Source organism: Homo sapiens, chromosome 4, assembly GCF_000001405.40.
Source record: "Homo sapiens chromosome 4, GRCh38.p14 Primary Assembly".
In the NCBI taxonomy this organism is placed as follows: domain Eukaryota; kingdom Metazoa; phylum Chordata; class Mammalia; order Primates; family Hominidae; genus Homo; species Homo sapiens.
Genome location: NC_000004.12, coordinates 17,770,687 through 17,792,205, shown reverse-complemented (window position 1 = coordinate 17,792,205; position 21,519 = coordinate 17,770,687). Strand labels below are relative to the sequence as shown.

The following is a 21,519-nucleotide window of genomic DNA, read 5'->3' as shown; positions in this document are numbered from 1 at the left end:
AGTCCTTTTAATTTTACTCATTCTGGTGGTTGTTTAATGGTATCCCAGTGTGACTTTAATTTACTTTGATTTAATTTAATTTTGATTTAATTTAATTTAATTTTCTTTGATCAGTGTTGTTAAACACCTTTTTATATGCTTATGAGACATTCAGATACCTCTTTGCAAGTACTTGTCTAGGGTTTTGGCCACTTGTAAAATAGATTATCTTGTTCTTATTAATTTGTAGTTCTGTTTTTTTTATTTTTTAGAAATGGGCTCACACTGTTGCCCAGGCTTGTCTCGAAATCCTGACCTCAGACAATCTTACCCTCTCAACCTCCCAAAATCCCCCAGCTGAAATTACAGGCATGAGCCACCATGCCCAGCCTATAGGAGTTTTTATATACACTGTATACAAGTTGTTTATTTATATAATGAATTTCTTATGTCATTCTATGCCTTGCCTATTTTCTTTTTTTTAAGACAGAGTCTTACTCTGATGCCCAAGCAGGAGTGCAGTGGCGGGATCTCAGCTCACTGCAACCTCTGCCTTCCAGGCTCAAGCAATTCTTGTGCCTCAGCCTCCCAAGTAACTGGGATTACAGGTGTGTGCCACCACACCCAGCTAATTTTTGTAGGTTTTTGTTGTTGTTGTTGTTAGTAGAGACAGAGTTTCTCCATGTTGGCCAGGCTGGTCTCGAACTCTGACCTCAAGTGATCTGCCCGCCTTGGCCTCCCAAAGTGCTGGAATTACAGGTGTGAGCCACCACACCCAGCCATTGTTTGTTTTCTTAATGGTATATTTTGATGAGTAGAAGTTTTCAAGTTTGATGAAATCTAATTTATCAGATTTCTTTTTGTATTATGGTTAGTGCTTTAACAAATCTTTGTTAACTTGAATATTATGAAAATAGTCTTCTATTTTTTTAGAAGATTTATAGTTTTAGCTTTCACATTTAAGATACAATTTCAAATTTTATTACTGAGAAGAGAATATTTGTGGGTATCTCATTTTTCTCTAATACTTTCTCCTTTTCTTCACATTCTTTATCCAAATTCAAGGGGATTTATCATATATGATATTTATGTCTTTGGAGTTTTTTTTGTTTTTTTTGTTTTCATGAAATTTGGGTAGGAAAGTTGACATACTGTTTTTAAGTTATCCCCAAAAGACTGAAGAATTCCCAAATTGTACTTCTTCCTAAAAACTAATTATCTAAGTGGCATAAATTAACTAAAAATCAAACAGTTCTTAACACTTATTTTGTTTAAAATTTTGAATTTTAGCACACCAATTCTGCATTAGAATGAATGAAAAATAACCAGATCTGTATTATTCTACCATATATTATTATTTAAATTTTTTTTACATTTTTGAGTTATTCTTTTAGACATTATCTAGTCTTACTATTTTAAATATTATCCTTCTACTTCCCTGTTATTCAACTACCAGAAAGTTCTCAGTATCAGTTTCTGTACAAAACATTGACACTTTCTACAATTATTATTTGTAGCAGTTTACTTTTGTAGTACATACACATTAATGTTTTTGCTTATTAATAGAAGCACATTCAGTCACTCAGCAAATATTTATTGACCACCTACACAGTGCCAAGTGCTAAGAATTTAGCAATAAACAAAACAGACAAAAATTCCTGCCTTCATAAAGCTTACATTGCAGTGAGATTTTTTTTTTCACTTCAGTTTATAACTGGAATGTTTTTGTTTACCTTTATTTTAAAATGAACGTTCAGACCAGGTGTGGTGGCTCATGCCTAAAATCCCAGCATTTTGGGAGGCCAAGGTGAGAGGATCGCTTGAGTTCAGAAGTGTGAGACCAGCCTGGGCAACATAGGGAGACCTCATCTCTACCAAAAATTTTTTTAAATTAGCCAGGTATGGTGGTGGCATGCACCTGTGGTCCCAGCTACTCAGGAGGCAGAGGTGGAAGGATCACTTGAGTCCACACCACTATACTCCAGCCTGGGTGACAGAGTAAGAGACCTTGTTTAAAAAAACAAAACAAAACAAAACAAAAACAGATAATCTGCAATAAGTCTGAATTATTTGCACTAGTTAATTTTATGTCCATTACAAATGAGTGCTCCCCGAGGTCAGGAGATCAAGACCATCCTGGCCAACATAGTGAAACCCCTTCTCTACTAAAAATACAAAAAAATTAGCCAAGCATAGCAGCACACACCTGTAATCCCAGCTACTCAGGTGGCTGAAGCAGGAGAATCGCTTGAACCCAGAAGGCGGAGGCTGCAGTGAGCCAAGATCGTGCCACTGCACTCCAGCCTGGCGACAGAGTGAGACTCCGCCTCAAAAAACAAAAGGTGTGCTCCCTTTTCATAGTGTACAGTTATGAAAAATTGCTAGCCAGTCAAAAAGTACATTTCCCTGATCCCCTTATATCTAGATAGTGCATATCAGTTTTTGCCGATGGAGTGACAACAGAATTGGTGTGTTACTTCAAGGCCAAGGTGTTTTAGAAGTGAATATACCTTCTCTGTGTTCTTTTTTGCATTTTGCTGGCTGGATGCAGATGACTGTCAGGCTCTAGGGGATAGTGGACCCGCAAGATAGAAGGAGCTGATCCTTGATTCACTTTGGACAGGAAAGAGGTCCAAAGACCAGTAACTCAGTCACTTTAATGTGACCAAAAAAACCATGTCAAGCTACTTGTGTAGTTTAGCAATTAGCATCACCTTAATAATATGCTTGCTTCGTTAATACTGCAGATGCTGTTAATCTGACCAGATATGATGTTTGTCTGAAAACCAAACCATTATTATTGATCAGGTACAATTTCTGGAATAACAAAGACAATATTGAAGGTGGAAGTTAGCTATGTAGCCTCCCAAAGGCCAAGGTCAGTGCCTAAGAGCAGATTTTTGCTGAACATTGAGGCCAGTGCAGATTCCAGTACATCCCCATCAGGTAGTGACTTAAAAAAAAAAATAGTATGGGAGGCAGGTGTTGTATAAGAAAGTAGGAGTAATTGTGATCATTCTTTGACCATGAACCATAATGTTACTACAACTGTAGTCATATTAAGTGGTTAGTGAAATTCTAAGCAAATAAGCCTGAGGAATGTGGAGGAGATATGGTGTGGGAGAACCATGTCCTTCTGCATTCATTATGGTAGTAAGCACAAAATGGGTCAGAAAATAATATCTACATGCTCAGAATGCTCCTGTATTAATAGAACTGGTTGCCCCTGGGGGAGTGGAAACAGTGACCAGGAACAAAGGTGGGAGGGAACCTTTTCATTTTTTCACTTTTGAATATTGTACCATAAGTATATATTATGTGTTCAAAAATCATCATTTTATGATTAGCTTTGAGAATTGATTGGTCAGGGAAGATAATAACTTTACTGAATTTCACCAAAGTGCTTTTTGAAAATTGGTGGATGAGATTGCAAAACTTATAACATAACTTAGTAAGTACAGGTAATGATATTCTTCGCTTGAATCAATGAAATTTCATAGGTTTTCGGTTATAACAGCTATTAAAGTCAGTGTTGAAATAAACTGAACTTAACACTAGACCTCTGAACTTAAAACTAGACCTCTGAATCACAGTATCTCAAAATGATAAATTCAATTATGTTGCTTTATTTTAAATGTTGCAATACTGTGTCATAATGTGTTATTAGTATACAATATTTCTAACATTTCATGAAATAACTCACTGCTACGGGAGCTCAAAGACAGCACCTCTGACTGGAGTAGTCAGTCCAGGGCTACCTCATGGGTGTGATTTGAACTGAGAATTGAAGGATTTTGGGATGTGGATAGCAGAGAGGACAAGAAGAACATCACAAAGCAATTAGAGGGAACTAGCAAGGGTTGGTTGGGCCATGAAGCAATTCTCTACATGGTGTCTGGTAGCATCTACAACAGCATCACTGAAGAGATTGTTTTAAATGCCTGACCCCAGACCGATGAATCAAAATTTCTGAGATGGGGAAGCAGAAATACTCATTTTTATCAAACTCCTTGTTTAGTAAATATAAACAAATTTTATGTTTACTAATATTTGAGAATTTCTAACCCCAGGTAAATACTCTGGATAATACTTGTCTGCAAAGACACTGTGGAGGACAACCACCACCAAAAACAGCAGGAGTCAATTCCAAAAAGAGAAATTGAGAAACAACTACAATGCAATATTCAACCATAGATCAGACATATTACCGATACTTTAGTCCATTAAAAAATTTGAGTTGCCACTTAGTACATAGCTCAAATGATCATATCAATATTTAACACAATCTGACTATGACTTTGCTATAAAACATTTTATTCCAAAATGTCATTCTCCATGGTGTCATGTCAATATACTGAAATCTCAGTACAAACGTCACCATTGTGTAAAAGAGGTTTTCATTTTACTCCCTGGGAGATGAGATGGAAGATTTGATACCATGCTACGTTTAATGAAACCCTGAATACTAGTTAATGTGTGTTAGGATTACAGTTAAAAAAAAAAAAACATGATGCTAATTTACACGTGTGTTCTTACATTCACTCAAAAAAGGGAAGATGTTTGACAGAAAACATCAGCTTTTAAAAATAAAATATGGTATAGGTGCTATACGGAAATGCAGAGCTACGAGAACATATCTTAAGGACATGCAGACTGATCTGCAACTACAGAGACAGCCTTCCTATGGAACTGACATTCAGGCTGAGATCTGAAAGATGAGTAGGAATGAGTCAGGCATAGTAGGGGAAAAAGCCTTCTAGATACTCAAGAATGTGAACTTGGTTTTAGATGAGTAATATATTAGGAGTAATAACAATAATCGAGTTACCTGTGCCACTTAACTGATTAGGAAAGAAAAATACTAATTAAAAGCTTTAGCCTAAGTAAATCTACCGAAGTAAATTTTTACCAAAGAAATCACCTAAGGCAACACTTAGATTATCAGCGTGGTAAAGATGAATTATTTAATACCTGTTGGGACAACCATTTAGCCATCTGGAAAAGCATAAGTCTGGAGTCTAACCTCATTCCATATATCAGCATAAATCCCAGGTAGATAAACCATATTTTAAATGAAGTCATGAAAGTACTAGGATAAACTATGGATTCCCTTTTCCTCATAATCTGGGGTAGAAAAGGCTTTTCTAAGCATGAGGAAAAAGCCAAAAAATGTGAGGGAAAAGATCAACAGATTTTCCTACATAAAAATTCAAAATGTTTATAGAGCATGAGAAAGCTAGAAAAAAAATCCGCTAACTGCGGGAAATGTTTGCAATATATATGATAGGCAAAGTGCTAAAAGCCCCTATTAAGGAAGAGCTCTTTGTAAGCAGCAAGAAAGCCAGGCAAAAACAATGACTAATCAAGTTGTGGGAAGGTATTCAGTTCTACCAGCAAACAAGTGGTGCGGGGGAATATTTCTGTGGGAACACTTGCACATCTGTGCAAAAACCCACTTACAACAATGTCATGTAGGCAGTTCCCTTGATGCAATAGTAACCTTAAAATACACGATTAGGCAGGCTGTCCCAGGTGTCATGGACAGGAAACCTCACACCGCAAATTAAGAGGCTCAAATCACATGGTTTATCGCTTTTAAACAAAATATAGTTGGAAAGATATAGTGACGTTTAACACATTTAGGATAGGGTCCAAGAGAGGTGGGAGGAAAAATTACCTGAATTTCATGTTACGCAGTGTTGTGGCGTCTTATCTGCTACATCAACCTTTACCTCTGATAATTAGGTTATGAGGACCGCAGCCAAAACTGAAAATGGGGGCTCAGCGGTGCTTACAGCCAGTGCACACTTGCTCTGTCAGAAACTCAGGGGCAAGGATACCTAGCTAATGGCCTGCTGAGAGCCGTGGGTTTTTTGTTTGTTTGTTTGTTTGTTTTTATTTTTAGAGACAGGATCTCACTCTATCACCCAGGCTAGAGTGCAGTGGCAGGATCATAGCTCACTGCAGCCTCGAACTCCCGGGCTCAAGCAATCCTCCCACATTAGCCTCCCAAAGTGCTGGGATTACAGACATGAGCCACTGCTCCCGACTGAAAGCCATGTTCTTAATCTGTGTTTCTGTGGCAGAACAGAAATAGGGCCAGAACTGGTGTCATTAATGAATGGCCATTTTAGGAATGAACTATCAGCCTGAAGGTGGCATCGTCTGTACATTGCAACTTGGCCTTTCCCACCTTATTCTGTCCGTTAGGAACACTCTTGTTTCTTCCATCCTTTTTACATATATTCCATTTATTCTCTGTCATGTCTTGCTCTACACTATCTATACTTAACATCTTAATACTGCCTATTTCACAGGCTACTTCTTTGCCCATTATACTTAACACATGAATTTCATATATTCTTTTTTTTCTCTATCCCTTAGGACAGAATTTAATATCCTCATAATACAGCAAGCATACATTACAAATATACGTTAAAGATTTTGGCTTGAAATATTTTAAAAATTGTCCAGTAGAAGATAGAGTAAATGGTATTGTATGTAATGGAAGACTGGTTGTTAGGAATGGGAAGCTAGATCTTCATTGACAAAAAGATATCCACTTTATATTACTGAGTAAGTAGGGTTCAAAAGCATTATTATAGGCGGGACATGGTGGCTTACCCCTGTAATCCTAGCATTTTGGGAGGCCAAGGTGGGCGGATCACTTGTCAGGAGTTCAAGACCAGCCTGGCCAATATGGTGAAACCCTGTCTCTACTAAAAATAGAAAAATTAGCCACGCATAGTGGCAGGCACCTGCAATCCCAGCTGAGGCAGGAGAATCCCTTGAACCCAGTAGGCAGAGGTTGTAGTGAGCCAAGATCGCACCACTGCACTCCAGCCTGGGCGATAGAGTGAGACTCATCAAAAACAAAACAAAACAAAAAAAATTATTGGTCGGGTGCAGTGGCTCATGCCTGTAATCCCAACACTTTGGGAGGCTGAAGCTGAGGTCAGGAGTTCGAGACCAGCCTGGCCAACATGGCGAAACCCCATCTCTACTAAAAATACAAAAATTAGCCAGGCATGGTGGCGCATGCCTGAAATCCCAGCTACTCAAGAGGCTGAATGAAGCAAGAGAATCTCTTGAACCCGGAAGGTGGAAGTTGCAGTGAGCCAAGATTGCGCCACTGCACTCCATCCTGGGCAACAGGAGCGAGACTTCGTCTCAAAAAAAAAATTATTATAGTATTTGTTTATAGTTTACACAGAAGTGTGTAAACATTCCTGAAATACATATATGTTTGTTACATTTTCTATATGTTTACACAGAAATGTCTAGAAGTATCTTCTCCAAAATATTAACAATAATTTTCTCTGAGTTTGGAATGTGGGGTTATTTTTGCTTGCTTCTACTCTTTTTTTGTTGTTGTTGTTTGTATTATTATGGGTGAGGATGTTTGGGGGGGATACTATGAGAAGTTTATAATCTAAAGAAAAGGCAAATCAATTATGATTTTAAATTTTTCTGACCAAGCACAGTGGCTCACACCTGTAATCCCAGCACTTTTGGGAGGCCGAGGTGGGAAGATCACTTGAAGCTAGGAGTTCAACACCAGCCTGGACATCATAGTGAGACCTTGTTTCTATTTTAAAAAATAAGAATTTTTAAAAGAAAAATATCATATTGCCAGCATTGTGCTCTGGGAAGCTTATATTTGTAATCTAAAGACAAATCAATTGGAAAGAATATCACCTTTGAGGTCAGATAGACCCAGATCCATTCACTAGCTGTATACAGTTGGGGACTCAACCTGCCTTAGCTTCACTTTCCTAGTCTGTAGAATGAGAATGACAATAAGTACCTCAGAGAAGGTCAAAACATGTGCTACGGGCTTAGCACAGTGCCAATATGACATTAGTGGCCTAATAAATGTACTTCCACCTCCACATTTGATATAGTACTTAATTCTCTTCTGCCCTCAATTTCATTCCTGATGGTGTAAAGGGACCTACTAATCCCAGTGCTGGAAAATCCTAGGAGCTGCAGAGGGCTCTCCAAAACAGGTCGGCTCATGGTGCCTTGATTACAGCAGCTGTGGGCCAACAAAGCTGATAAAGGAATCTGATTTTCCCGTTGTCTTCCATTGTAAAGTTGAAAGTATAATATTTCCTACTGGAACATTTTTTAGCCCCAAGACCTAATGAAATCATTATTAAAAAACTAAAACTTGGGGTTAGACTTGCAGTTTTTCTAAACTTTAGTGTGTATAAGATCATCTAGAGCAATGGCTTTCAATTCTTTTCAGATCCAACATCACCCTTTTTATAACATCCACGTTACTATCTTGAAATTCATAGATAATACACACCTTTTTAAATCTGCATAATTTCTTGACTTTGATTTTTTTGACATTTGATTCTTGATATTTCATTATAATTAAATAATATGTACAGTTGGCCCTCCATATCAATGTGTTCCACATCCTCAAAGTCAACTAACCACAAGTCAAAAACATTTGAGGAAAAAAAATTGATGGTTGCATCTGTACTGTATACATATACAGCCTATTTTTTTATTCCCTAAACAATACAGTGTAACAACTAATTACATAACATTTACGTTGTATTAGGTATTACAAGTAATATAGAGATGATTTAATGCATACGAGAGGATGTGAGTAGGTTATATGCAAACGTTACACCATTTTATGTAAGTGACTTGAACATCCATGGATTTTGGTATCTGAAGGGGTACTGGAACCAATCCCCTGTTGATACTGAGGGACACAGTGTAGTAATCAGATGCTTGCATAGGTAGACTCACCATCAATATGGCAGTTAGAAGTGTGTTGTGGCCAGGCACGGTGGCTCACACCTGTAATTCCAGTACTTTGGGAGGCCTAGGTGGGAGGATCACTCAAGGCCAGGAATTTGAGACCAACTTGGCCAACATGGAGAAACCCCATCTCTACTAAAAATGCAAAAATTAGTCGGGCGTGGTGGTGCATGCCTGTTATCCCAGCTACTCTGGAGGCTGAGGCACAAGAATGGCTTAAACTCAGGAAGTAGAAGTTGCAGTAAGCCGAGATCATGCCACTGCACTCCAGCCTGGGTGACAGAGCAAAACTCTGTCTCAAAAAAATAAAAAAAATAAATAAATAAGTGTGTTGTATTGGCAACCAAATATCATGAGCCACCTGGCCCTTGATGTGATTTTCCAAAATGGTCAACAACTTTTAGTAAAGTTCTTGACCAAAAAGGCTAATTTTCCTCTAGTTTACACAGTGGTTGAATTCCTGTAAAATTTAGTATATATTAAGATCCTGCAGAAAATATTCTAAATACACAATTTGGAATTAAGCAGAGAGCTGTTTAATGTGGATTCCTGACCCCCTGACCCCCATCCTCAGAGGCTTTGTCTCTGTTTTCTAAAGGAACTGGGGGAGGGAGGGGTTGTGCTAAAAAGAGAACTTAAGATGGTAAATTAGAAATCAAAAACCGAGGCCGGTCATTTGATACAGAATCTAGAATAGGAATGTCTATTTCAGAAACAGTTCTACTTGTAATTGCCTGACTTGGTACAAATTTTCTGGGTCAATTTTCCTCATCGACAAAAATGGGTTTTGTTACCTTCAGTATGGATGGGTGGAACTGTGGTTTCTGAGACCCTTTGAAGCTTGCTTGGTTTATGAAGATTATTAAAATTTCTGATAAAAGGCAATGTATAAATGATATACATTCACTATGCAAACTATCATGAAGACCTATTATTCGAGCTTTAGGAAAAGCTGATCACGGTGCTGTCACTTTCCCTTAAAGTCCACTGTCTGAAACCAGAGAACACGCCAGAAAGAAATTTGGCCCGCTAACCTCTCCCCTCACCAAACACTAAACAGACACCAGCTCAGAATCCGAAAACTTGACAGTCTGGCTCCAGTCTGCCCAAGGCCAGTAGTGTGGATTTGGACGACTCACTTTACTTTCAATGGGCTCGGTTTGCTAAGATTTTCAGTTCCATCTTTTACTCATCTAACTGCTCCATTCCTCTTTGCTTCTTCCTTTCCCGCACCTGCCACCATCCTTTCTACCTCCCTAACGACTTTGTCTTTGCGTTCCTACCGCTTCCCGCATTACCCGTTTCGCACTTTCTCATCTCAGATTTCGGTCACCCGCACCCTGCCATCCCCTTGGCTTCTCCTCTTTGGGCATCTCCGGTATTCCTCCCGCAATGTCCTGGCTCCTCTCCAAGATCCAAAAAGGAAGGCTACCATCCCCAGCCCCGCTGTGCACTCGCGCAACTCAGGCGCTGGCCCACACCGTGCGCCCCGGATCCCACACCTCCTTGAGTCCCGATGGCTCGCCCTCACCTACCCGCCCCTCTCTTAGCATCTCGTCCCCCACCGCCATCTCCGCTATCAGCTCGGAGACTCGGGAGCCGCCAGTCACTGTGCCCTGTCCCTCTCCGGAGGCCGCCAGTCACTGTGCCCTGTCCCTCTCCGGAGGCTCTTCTTCCTCTTTAGCCTGGGATCCCCACCTCGGGCAGGGTCCGTCGCCACCAAGTCCAGGGCCGCGCGCCACCCACGTGTCCAAGAGCGCAGTGCCCGCCCACCGCAAACCCCCCAAGGCCGGCAGCTCCTAGCCGCGGAAGCTCTCCCCTTGCACACGAAACCTGCACTGGCTGGGGAACTGCAGACTGATCGCCAGCGGCACGTGCGGGGCGCCGACGCCTCGCCGCAGGGTGCGGGTGCCCGCGGAGCCAGCCAGCCAGAGAACCAGCAGGAGAGGAAAAAGGGTGGGCGCGCGGGTGGGCCCGGGAGGCGGAGACCTTCGGGAAGCTGGGGCCACGCGGCGGTGCAGGCGACGGGACTGCAGTGCCACCTCTCCCGAGAAACCCACACGCTCGCACGCCCGCGCGCGCACGCACGTGCACACGGTGGGCAGGGAGAAAACGAGAGAGTCTGAGTGCTGGGCGCGTTTTAGCGATGGCTTCTGCTCTCAACAGCAAAATTAACCCGCCCGGCACTTGCCAGGGCTCCAAAGCCGACGGTGGCGCCGGCTGGAGAATGGACTGTGATCCCCAGATGCACGTGAAAATGTGCAAGAAGATCGCCCAGCTCACCAAGGTAAGGTGGGGCGCAGCGGGCCAGCGAGCTGCACGCCCGGGGCGCCCGAGCCGGGAGTCAGTGCGGATGCGCCTCCCGGGAGGCCCGGGCCAAATCCAGACAGAAACTTTGTCTCGGAGGCCAACCGGGAAGGGAAGCGGTCCTAAATCTGGGTGACTTGACCTTCTAGAGGCACCATCCTAAAGCAGCAGAGAAAGAGGATCCTTGCCAAGGAAACTCCCACAGCCTGCTGGCTGGGCAGGTGGTCTGTGCTTTTCCAAGGTGGGAATGTGAATCGTGTGTGTGTGTGTGTCCCCGCCAGCTTTGCTCAAGTGCCTAGAATGTTGTGATTTCATTCAACTGCCATACTTTACAGCTGGGGAGGTCATGTGGGCTCTATTTAAACACTTGATCCATTTATTCCTTCATTCAACAAATATTTGCGTCATTTGTTGAGTGCCAGCAGCTTGCGTGGCACCGTACTAAACCTGGAATGCAGCCTAGGGGACTTACTATCAAACTGGGTGCAGACGTGTGTAGGAGCATAAATGGGGAAGAGCACGATTCACCAAATAACTATGGGATTAGGAAGGACCTAGGGAAGTCAGCCAGCCCACCTCCTTACCTCGTGCAGGGGGCTCTGATTGAACCTTCCCAGACTATGTCTTTTTCAAGAAGACCAGCAAAAAGATGCCACCAGTGCTCTTTGTTAACCCTCTGCAGCTCCCCAATTAGAAGCTCCTTGTCACAGACTCCCCTCTGTGCCTTGTCTAGATGGAAAACAACATCCCTCACTGTCTCCTATACAAGGTTTCAAGTGGATGAATTTAGCTGTTTGCCTTGGGGTTTCCTTTCGGTCTCATAATAAACTCCTGGTGCCATGCCCGCCAGGGAGAGGTCAGGTCCAGGTCTGTCCTGTAGCGTCTGGAACATGCTCTCTTTCCTCACCATCTCCCTCTCACTTCCCACACATTTTTTTGTGGGATCACAGACATTCCCCTCCCCCTGTCCCGCCAACCTCACTATTTTGCCAGGAGGAATAGAGCACAGGGGCTTGGAATTGAACACTAGCCGCCTTCTCCCACCTGTCTCATTAACTTCACATTCTTTGCACGTGAGCCTGTCTCCAAACAGGGCTCTCTTTGGTCAAGGAATGAAAAAAGAGACTGGAGATAGCCCTTAGCGTTCTTGACATGTATAGCTGGTACTATTGATCTAACCTACATTCATGTAAATAGTGACATCAACCAAAACATGTATTTATTCAAGTACCTGAAAAGGCACTTGGCACAGTGCAAGGCATCTTCTCTATCTTCAAAGAATCTAAAATAGTTTTAAAGAAACAAGATTTGAAATATTGAGTGAAAGCTAGAAGACTATACTATGTCTTGGGTGCTAAATTGGGTGTTTCCAATTACGAGTGCTATAGAAGTAGAAACAAAGGACAAATCAGTATGGGAGGAACAGTGAGGGGAGATTTTATGGAAGAGATGATCCTTGAATTCAGTGTGGACTTATGGAATTCCTACTATGTGCCAGCTGCTATGCTGAATGTTGATGGCATAACAATTAGTAAGATATGGTCTTGCCCTTGTGGTATGACAAACACATAAACAGATCATTTCAATATAAAATAGCAATCATTCCACTCATTAATATTTATGGCACACCTATTATGTGCCAAGCACTGAAAACACAGCAGTATAGAAGGCATACATGATTCTTGGCACACAGTAGGCAGTGTTTCTTAAAGTATATTCTGCATTAGAAATCGCAATTGATCCTTATGTAGTGCGTCTGTTTACCATTTTTATGCTAATTGCTTAAATTAGAAGTTTTTGTTATTAATAGGCCACCATTCTTTTGGCTACTATTTGTATGTGAAATATTGTCCTTCATATTTAATCTTTCTATGAGTTTTATTTTGGTTGTGTCTCTGACAGATGAATTTAATCCACAGGGATTTATTGCGATTACTAATATATTTGGGCTCTTCTTCCATCAGATCTTGTGTTTTTCATTTACCATTCTTTCTCCTTGCTTCTTTTTCTTCCATTCTTGCCTTCTATCAGATTAGTAAAGTGATACATATTCCACTGCTGGTTTGAGAGCTTTAGGTTTTATTTCTATTCTTCTCAGAATCGTCTTTTATTTTTTCAACATACATACTTAACTCTGATTTTTTTGCTAACAAAGTTAGTATGTAATTGTTTCTTCCCATGAAAGAACTTTGTATATTTTACTCATTTAACAGCCCCTTCCTTCCCATCTTTTTATTGCTGCCTAGAGTTTTATTTTTACTTTTTTGTTCGTTTGTTTAAGAGACAGGGTCTTGCTCTGTTACCCAGGCTGGAGTGTAGTGGCACAGTCATGGCTGACTGGAGCCTCAAGCTCCTGGCCTCAAGCAATCCTCCCACCTCAGACTCCCAAGTAGCTAGGAACAGGTCCACACCACCACCCCCAGCTAATATTTTCTTTTTCAAAAATTTTTTGTAGAAATAGAGTCTCACCATGTTGCCCAAGCTGGTCTCGAACTCCTGGCTTCAAGCAATCCTCCCGCCTCAACCTTCCAAAGCTCAGGCATGTGCCACCGCATTCAATCTGTTTTTACTTCTTAAATTTAAAAATAGTTTTTATAGTTAAAAGTTAATTAAATTTATGACATTTTATCAATTTTTCTGCTATTTCTTTTTCTTGAATCTACAGTGTTCCCTTTGGGTTCACTTTTCTTCTGGCTGAAGTCCATCCTTTAATAGTTCTTTCTGTAGGTGCCTTGGTATGGGAGGGAATTCATTGTTGGAAATGTCTTAATTTTGCCCTCACTGTTGTATGATGATTTATTTGGATATAAAATTCTAGTGAACAGTTATTTTCCCACACCACACTGATGATAGTACTCCACTGTCTTCTGGTACTAAGTGTTGCTGGTTAAAAATTCTACTGCCAATCTAATTTTCATTCCCTTATAAATAAGCTGCCTTTTCTCTTTGATAACATTTCAGATTTGTTTTGTTTATTTTTACTGTCCAGCAGGTTTTCTAGAACTGTCTTGGTGTTAGTTTATCTTTATCCTCTGCAAAAGGAGGAGGTACTTTTTTTTTTTTTCTTTGAGACAGTGTCTCACTACGTCACCCAGGTTGGAGTGCAGTGGTGTGATCAAAGCTCACTACAACCTTGACCTCCCATACTCAAGCTGGACTACAAGCATGAGCCACCATGCCCAGCTAATTTTTAAAAAATTTTTTGTAGAGACAGGGTCTCACTATGTTGCCCAGGCTGATCTCAGACTCCTGAGCTCAAGCAATCCTCCCGCCTTGGCTTCCCAAAGTGCTGGGATTACAGGGGTGCATATGCTTTCTTTAATTCTGGAAAATTATTACTGATTTTCTCTTGCAATATTGCTTCCTAGCCATTACCTCCATTATCTTTTCTGGCACTACCATTAGGTAAGTGAGGAAGCCTCACTATCTATATCCTGAGATGTTATTTTTTTAAAAAAAGATTTTGTCTTTGTGTTGCATCCTGGTGAATTCCTTGCCTTCCAATTTGCCAGTCTTCTAAATAATTTGTCCAATCCAGAGTTTTTCCCATCTATTAAGTTTTTTGAATTTCAATAATTATATTTTTTATTTCTAAGATTGTGCTTCCTATTTTCTTTCTGCCTAATTTTGATTAACAGTTTTTTTAATATTTACAGCTTTATTGAGGTATAATTTACATACCATAAAATTCACCTGTTTTAATTGTTCAGTTCAACATTGTTTTAGTCATTAAGCCATAACCATAATCCAGTTTTAGGGACATTTTCATCACCCCAAAGAAATCTTCCCTTGTGGCCATTTGTAGTCAGTTTCTGTTCCCACCAACAGCCCCAGGCAACCATTCATCTACTTCCTATCTCTTTAAATTATCTCTAAATGAAACCATATAATAAATTATTCTTTCCATCTAATTCTTTAAGATTCATCCACATTGTAACACATATCATTAATTCGTTCCTTTTTATTACTTATTTATCCTGTTCTATGGGTATGCTGTGTTTTATTTATCCATTCACCAGCTGATGGACATTTGAGTTTCTACTTTTTGGCTTTTATGAATAATGCTGCTATGAAGATTACATTCACGTGCAAGTCTTTATGTGTTCTTGGGTAGATACCTAGGAGCAGAATTCTTAAGTTGTATGATAACTTTTACTTCTTTAAGAAATTGCCAAATTGTTTTGCGAAGTGACTGTACCACCATACATTATCCAGCCTACTTCAGCACAATCTCCTAGTACATCCCTACGCACCCAATTCTCAGGTCACAGGGAAGTACGATTCTTTCCTTACTCCACTGTGCACTCACCTAGCTTTCCTCTTGAAGTTTCCTCACCTGAAATGTCTTCCTCTCTAAAAGTAAAATCTGCTTATCTTTTGAGTCCCACCTCCTCTAAAAAAAAAACCTTTTAAAAACCTTACTTTTCTGATTAAGACTGTGTTAACTGGCCGGGCACAGTGGCTCACGCCTGTAATCCCAGCACTTTGGGAGGCCGAGTCAGGTGGATCACCTGAGGTCGGGAGTTTGAGACCAGCCTGACCAACATGGAGAAACCCCATCTCTACTAAAAATACGAAAAGAATTAGCTGGGCATGGTGGTGCATACCTGTAATCCCAGCTACTCGGCAGGCTGAGGCAGGAGAATCGCTTGAACCCGAGAGGCGGAGGTTGCAGTTGGCTGAGATCGTGCCATTGCACTCCAGCCTGGGCAACAAGAGTGAAACTCCATTCCAAAAAAAAATTGTTAATTAATTTTTAACTGTGTATTAATTACATTTACTTATCCATCCATTTCTCCAGCAGTTTGTACAAAGTCTGACACATAGTAGATCCTCAGTAAACTTGTTCAATTTAATTATAGTTTCCTCCTATAGGTTTGTTAATATTTCTTTCATGATACTTATCCCTATGATATTATAGTTGACTTGTGGATAGTATGTCCTTAAAGTAATAAGCTCCTTAATTTTATTCATAATACTTTACACCTGGTAGGCACTCACTATGTGGTAGTGTAGTAAATATTTATTTACACAATGACCCAAGGCCCAAGGTGCCCATTAAAATCACCTACAGAGCCCTTATTTATTTGTTTACTATATCAATGTATCCAAAAGATTCTAAAATACGTATTTATTTTTAATTTATATAGATTTAGGGGGTACAAATGTGCTTTTTACATGGATACAATACGTGGTAGTGAAGTCTGGACTTTTAGTGCAACCATCACACGAATAGGATACATTGTACCCAGGAGCTATTTATGATCCCTCATCCGCCCTGCAGCCTCCCACCCTTGGAGTCTCCAGTGTCTATTATTCCACATTCTGTGTTCCTGTGTACACATTATTTAGTTCCCACTTGCAAGTGAGAACATGTGATATTTGACTTTCTCTTCCTGAGTTATTTAACTTAAGATAATAGCCTCCACTCAGAGAGCTTTTAAAAACACACCAGTTGAAGACTTGACAACTAAATGCAGTGCCTGTCCTAGATTGGATTCTATACCGACCAGAAAAATTGCTACAAGAGATGATTGGGTCAGTTGACAAAACTGGAATACAAATGTTGGGTAAAGAAGATAAAAGTGTTTCTATTGATGTTAAGTTTACTGGAGTTGACTGTACTATGGCTATGCAAGAAAATTTCCTATTCTAGCTGGGCTCAGTGGCTCATGCCTGTAATCCCAGCAGTTTGGGAGGCCGAGGCGGGCAGATCACGAGGTCAGGAGACGGAGACCATCCTGGCTAACATGGTGAAACCCTGACTCTACTAAAAATACAAAAAATTAGCTGGGTGTGGTGGCACGCACCGGTAGTCCCAGCTACTCGGGAGGCTGAGGCAGGAGAATCGATTGAACCCAAGAGGCAGAAGTTGCAGTGAGCCAAGACAGCACCACTACACTCCAGCCTGGGCAACAGAGCAAGACTCCATTTCAAAAATAAAATTAAATTAAATTAAAATTAAAATACAAAAATTAGCTGGGCATGGTGGTGCACACCTGTAGTCCCAGCTACCCAGGAGGCTGAGGCAGGAGAATCACTTGAACCCGGGAGGCGGAGGTTGCAGTGAGCTGAGATCATACCACTGCACTCCAGCCTGGTGACAGAGCAAGACTCCATCTCAAAAAAAAAAAAAAAAAAAAAAAGAAAAGGAAAATATCTTATTCTTAGGAAATGCACATCGAAGCTGATCTTACGTTTAAGGAAGTATGATGCCTTACTCTCAAAGCATTTCATTTCATCATATAGAAAACAGAATATGGAAATAGAATAAAAGATACATGAGACAAAATGGGGTAAAATAGGCGATTCTGAGTAAAAGAGTATGTGGATGTTCTTTGTACTGTTCTTTTTCTGTCGGTTATTCCCTAAGTTTGAGATTATAGTCAAAGTTTAAAACAAGCAAACCAAACAGCATACAGGGCCCAGGCCCATCTTATAAGGAGAAGAGAGAATGGTGACAGGTATTAGTATTTTTTTCAAATCCCTTCAAGAGCATCCAATGTGCTGACAGGGTTGAGAACCACTGGCTTGCAGCAATTGAAGGATGGAACAGTAAAATGCACCCAGAGGAGGTATTTGGAAGAAGAGGTTCTAGATCCATTCCCCAGTAAATAAACCCTTTGGGAAGCTTTTGTTCTTGAAAGCATCAGGCAGGTTTCCCCAGCCCTGCCCTGCCTCTGGGCCCGTGTCCACCTCTCTGAGTTTTTGTACCCTCCCAGCACTCTCCAGCTGGATTTTGTTTGTTTGTTTGTTTGTTTGTTTGTCTTTGAGACAGGGTCTGGCTCTGTTGCCCAGGATGCAGTGCAGTGGTACAATCTGGGCTCACTGCAACCTCTGCCTCCTGGGCTCAAACCATCTTCCCACCTCAGCCTCCCCAGTAGCTGGGACTACAGGCGTGCACTGCCACGTCCGGCTTTTTTTGGTAGAGACGAGGTCTCACTATGTTGCTCAGGCTGGCCTCGTACCCTTGGGCTCAAGAAATCCTCCCACCTCAGCCTTCCAGAGTGCTAGGGTTGCAGGCGTGAGCCGCCACTCTCGGCCTTACCTGGTTTTTCATCTTGCAGCTCTCTCCACAACCTCATCCCCAGCAGGGTTGGAATCCCTCCTACCCAGGGATTCTCCAATTCCCATTTTCAAAGAATAATAGAATGTCTTACCCCAAACACAAGTGTTAATGAAGATTCTTTTGTATTAAAACAAGAAAATGAGTGGGATAGCATGTATTCCTCTGCAAGAACCATCTCTCAAACTGAAGGCTTGGCTGGGCGCGGTGGCTCACACCTGTAATCCCAGCACTTCGGGAGGCCAAGGCAGGCGGATCACCTGAGGTCGGGAGTTCAAGACCAGCCTGACCAACATGGAGAAACCCCATCTCTACTAAAAATACAAAATTAGCCAAGTGTGGTGGCGCATGCCTGTAATCCCAGCTACTCAGGAGGCTGAGGCAGGAGAATTGTTTGAACCCGGGAGGCGGAGGTTGCAGTGACCCAAGATTGTGCCGCTGCACTCCAGCCTGGGCAACAAAAGTGAAACTCCGTCTCAAACAGAAAAAAGAAAAAAAGAAAATATACTGAAGACTGACTCTCGAGAACCCAGACCACACACAGGAGAAGCAGATACCAGGGCACTACCTCTCATCTGGACCAACTAGAGGAAATGTACCCAGGAAGAAATGCGCAGGCGTCTTAGTGCCAGAAGCTGCCAAGCTCAAGTATAAGGAGTCGAATAACCTCATGGGGCCTTCTCACTCATTCTTGTTTTGGATCTCTGCCAGTTTGTCAGGAGACCCTGCAAGAGCAAATGCTGAGTCAAGTGGTTGCAGTTTCTCCATGTTAGGAACACCTTACGATTCTTTAGTTTTGCATACTTTGCAAAGCCTTTGACATACTTACTCATCCTTTGTGTGCACAGCAATTCTGCATGGCTGGGAGGGAAGAACCATCTCTAATTGAGAAGGGGGGAATCTGAGACCCGGGAGGGTGTCAGTATTCTTGTCCAACATCGTATTAATATATATTGACAGAGCTAGGACATGCAGAATCCAGCACTGGATGTGTGTGTGTTGAAGAGAGGGAGGTGGGGAAGTCTCTTCCCTGTTCATCCTGATGTTTCCATAGCCTCTCTCAATTACTTTTACTATTTTTTCCACTGCAAAGGGGAATATATAGTTAATTAGTGAGGTTTGGAGCAGGGACTGGGCCTATAGAGCTCTTGCCTCTTCCTCCCTTCTTGCTCCTGGAGTGATCTGCCTATAGAAGCACACATTGTCTTCTACACATCAATTTTACAGGGGTAGGTGCACCTGGCAGGCAGAACTGCCCTGGCCTAGCATTGTGACCGGATGGATAAGCATCAGGAATTCAGCTTGCCAGTGGATATATGCCACAGTCTCCAGTATTAACTTTAGTTGATAAAACGGTGATAGTTTGGTCTCAAAACAGACTCACACCTTGGTCTTGCATTTCAGTTAGATCAGTGGGGAAGAGGAATGTTATTTATTGGGCCATCCTAAAGATCCAACAGACAGATCTTAGGATGAGTCTAGCTTTGAGGAATTTGGTACAGAGTTACAGTGAAAACTAATTCCTTTATTTGGGAAAGCATATTAACCTGAGAGTGGGAAACTTTTGAGTGGCAGTGTGGTATTTATCTGTAGATACATCTTCCATGGGAAGTTCAAGAGGTCAAAAGTCACCGCTTCCTGCACAGTGGCACAGCCAGACCATGAGGACTGTGTCTCCACATGTCCCAGAACCTTACCCATCTATTAAGACACATTAATAGAGACAATAGTATTGTCTCTGTTTTGGGGGTGGGGGATGGGAGGTGATGGGTATAGGATTGGGAGATGTAGTGGAGAATAGTCTCTGAGTTTAAAATCAGAAATAATAAGGAAAAATAATTATCATTTCTATTCAAAGTTATACGTGAAATGAATTTAAATTTGATTTGTTTCTAGAGGGCAACTTTTCACCCTTCTTTATACTAATGAATATAAATTAGAATTAAATAAGAATAAAAATGAAGACATCTAGAGAGCAAATGAATAATTTTGGGGTTAAACTTGGAATGTTCTTGCTCTGGATCCCTGTGTAGCTGGTATCAGCTAAATCACCACCTCTTCAAAGTGGCCTTTTCTGACCTCCCCATGCAAAGGGGCCAACGGTCCTCATCTTTAGTTGGGGGAAAATTTTCCACCTTGGTGATATGTTGTGAGGCTTTACCAATATAAGGGATGTATGTGAAAAGTCACTTATAACCCAACACGGGGCATATCTGAAGCCTGACAGATGTTCATTTCCCATCCCTTTCTGAACTGGAGGAACTTCAGAGAGTCAAGGACTGCTGCCCAGTTGTCGAACTTGGAAACAAGCCAGCTCTTCCCTGGGCTGAGAGGCCAGGGCAGTGCTGTAGGGCAGGAGGAGTGATGCCTGTTGCCATGAGAGTCCTCAGCAACAGGCTGTCACTTGAGCCCTGTGTTTTCATGGCTTAAAGGTGTGGAAATCTTATGGCACCCACTGGCTCCTCTCGCTTTTCTGAAAATATCCTCTTGCTTGCAGGAGCTTGTTTGGGGACAGATGTTTAAGCAGTTCCATGCCAGTTTGCTTTAGGACTCTAGACTTGAAAACGGCAGATCTGTTTTAACAAGCCCTCTCTGTTGGAATCTTTTAATTTAGCGATGTGATTCATTGTGTAAGGAGCTCACGAATCTTTGCACCATACTGTAAACGGTAGGGAGTGCACCTTAAGTTGAATGTCCTTGAACCTTGCTCAGATCCCTGAACTTCTGCATAACCATTCTGGTCTCTCCACTTTCCACAGTGCCCCCAAAACTCCCCTGCCTCGCCCCAGCCTTCCTCCTATCCTTTCTCCACACAGCAGCCAGAGTGATCTTAAAACTGAATCAGCATTCCCATACACTGCCAGTGGGAATATAAAATGATGCAGCTGCTGTGGAAAATGGTCTGTCAGTTCCTCAAATGCTTGGACACGCTTATCTTTCCACTCCCAGGTATATACCCAAGAGAAATGACGCAAGAATGTTCATAGAAACATTATTCACAATAGCCAAAAAGTGGAAACCAACTAAATGTCCATCAACGGAGGAACAGATAAGCACAAAAAGAAACCTTTCATTCCTTAGACAAAGAGGAGTGTGACTCACAGATGCAAGGTTTCTTTATGGAGTAATGAGAATGTTCTAAAGTTGGTTGTGGTGATGGTTCCGCAACTCTGAAGATACTGAAAGCCATTGAATTGTACACTTTTTGGGTGGATCTCCTGGTATGAGAATTATATCTCAATAAAGCTGCTAAAATGAAAACAAACAAAACTTGAATCAGATCTGTCTCCTGTTAAAATCTAGTTCTGGCCGGGCGCGGTGGCTCACGCCTGTAATCCCAGCACTTTGGGAGGCCGAGGCAGGCAGATCACCTGAGGTCAGGAGTT

General features: G+C 41.6%; 1 protein-coding gene across 2 annotated transcripts in view; it reads left to right on the top strand.

Moving 5' to 3' along the window:
* Positions 1-10,584: 10,584 nt before the first annotated feature.
* FAM184B (family with sequence similarity 184 member B) overlaps positions 10,585-21,519 on the top strand; it is a 152,316-nt gene continuing 141,381 nt past the window's right edge. For both annotated transcript variants that reach the window (NM_015688.2, XM_047450066.1), the window contains exon 1: positions 10,585-11,047. In NM_015688.2, coding sequence (NP_056503.1) covers positions 10,907-11,047 — 141 coding nt within the window. In that variant the 5' untranslated portion in view covers positions 10,585-10,906. The remainder of the gene's footprint in view (positions 11,048-21,519) is intronic.